This window comes from Homo sapiens, chromosome 4, assembly GCF_000001405.40.
Source record: "Homo sapiens chromosome 4, GRCh38.p14 Primary Assembly".
NCBI lineage: Eukaryota > Metazoa > Chordata > Mammalia > Primates > Hominidae > Homo > Homo sapiens.
The window spans coordinates 17,052,128-17,053,564 of NC_000004.12; positions in this window are offsets into that span (position 1 = coordinate 17,052,128).

Consider the following 1,437-nt stretch of genomic DNA (forward strand, 5'->3'; position numbering starts at 1 on the left):
TTCCAAATGAGTCACTCTGGAGGAGCTGGAGCCCAAAGGAAGGGCTTGGAGAAGTAGAAACAGAAACAGCTCACTGGGAGAGGGAAGCACAGTATTAGGAAAAGATGGAGTTTGCGTGGTTGTTGGCAGTAAAAGATAGCTGCACTCCTTCTTTGCAGTCCCATAGGGAGGTATGACAACCTAATATTCATGGGTAAACAGCAAGCCAGTGGGCCCAGGGGCTGGCAGAGACATGAAGGCTCCCACCTTCAGCACTGACTCCCTTGCAAAGCACAGCACAGAGCAGTGAACCTTCTGAGTTAGGACAGTTCACATTGCAGCAAGGACCTTGGTGTTCTAAAGACCAGAGACCCTGGACACTCCCTAACCCCTGTTCACACACATGTACAAAGAAAAAACAATAGAAATGAAATTTTTTGCCTCCTGGTGAACCAGGACTTAAAGTCCAATTTTCTTAAATAAATATTGTGCCATTTCTTATTTCCAAGTGTTGTAGCTGAAGAAAATTCACGTCTGCTTTCCTAAGACCTGAAAGTTGAGTAAGAGTTAACTAAGGAAGGTTGGTGGGATCAGGGCTGTACTTGACAGGAAGCAGCATGTGCAAAGGCCCAGGGGTGAGAGACAGGATGACACTGGTGGAAGGGAAGGCCAGTGAGCCTCAGGGTAAGACAGGAGAGGGAGATGGAAGCCTGCACCACAGAATCTTCCTTGAGATGGGCCATGCTCAGGAATGTGGCCTTTCTCATCCCAACACTGGGATGGCTTCAAGTGTGTGTATAGGTTTTAAGGATGTGGTTAGGGTGGAGTGAGCAGAAAAGAAGGGTGTGAAATGATGAAATTTGCATTTTACATAAATCTCTTTGGCTAAAGTGTGGAGAAAACATTGGAGAAGGAAATAAATAGGTGAGCAGAGGCACTTTCAAAATCTACTGCAACTGTCCCATGAGAGGTAATGGTAGCTTGGACCAGTGAGGAGGCAGTGAAGGCAGAGAGGAGTGAGGGCATTCAAGAAAGAGGAAATCAACCCAAGCAGGTGTGGGGATGGAGCAGGCCTCTAGGGTGAGAGACGCTGGGGTACTTGGCACATATGCGTGGGGATATGGCACTCCTTAAGGTGGTATCATTCCCTGGCATAGAGCTCCCTGAGGAAGAAACAGGGAAGAAGGGAGAAATCAGGAGTCTGCTTATGACAATATTGTAAATGAGGTGCTGGTGAGATATAAATAGTTGGATGTGTGGGTGTAGAGAGTAGTATCCATTAGCTGTACAGGTTCAAGTAGAGATCTTCACATCTTCAAATTTTATGCTACTCTCCATTATCCTTGGCCTTTGCACATGGCAATGATAAAGATGATTACAATGATGATGATGATGACGATGATGATGATGACGAATAACGTTCATTGACAATTACCTTGTTCTAGGCACTTTGGTGCA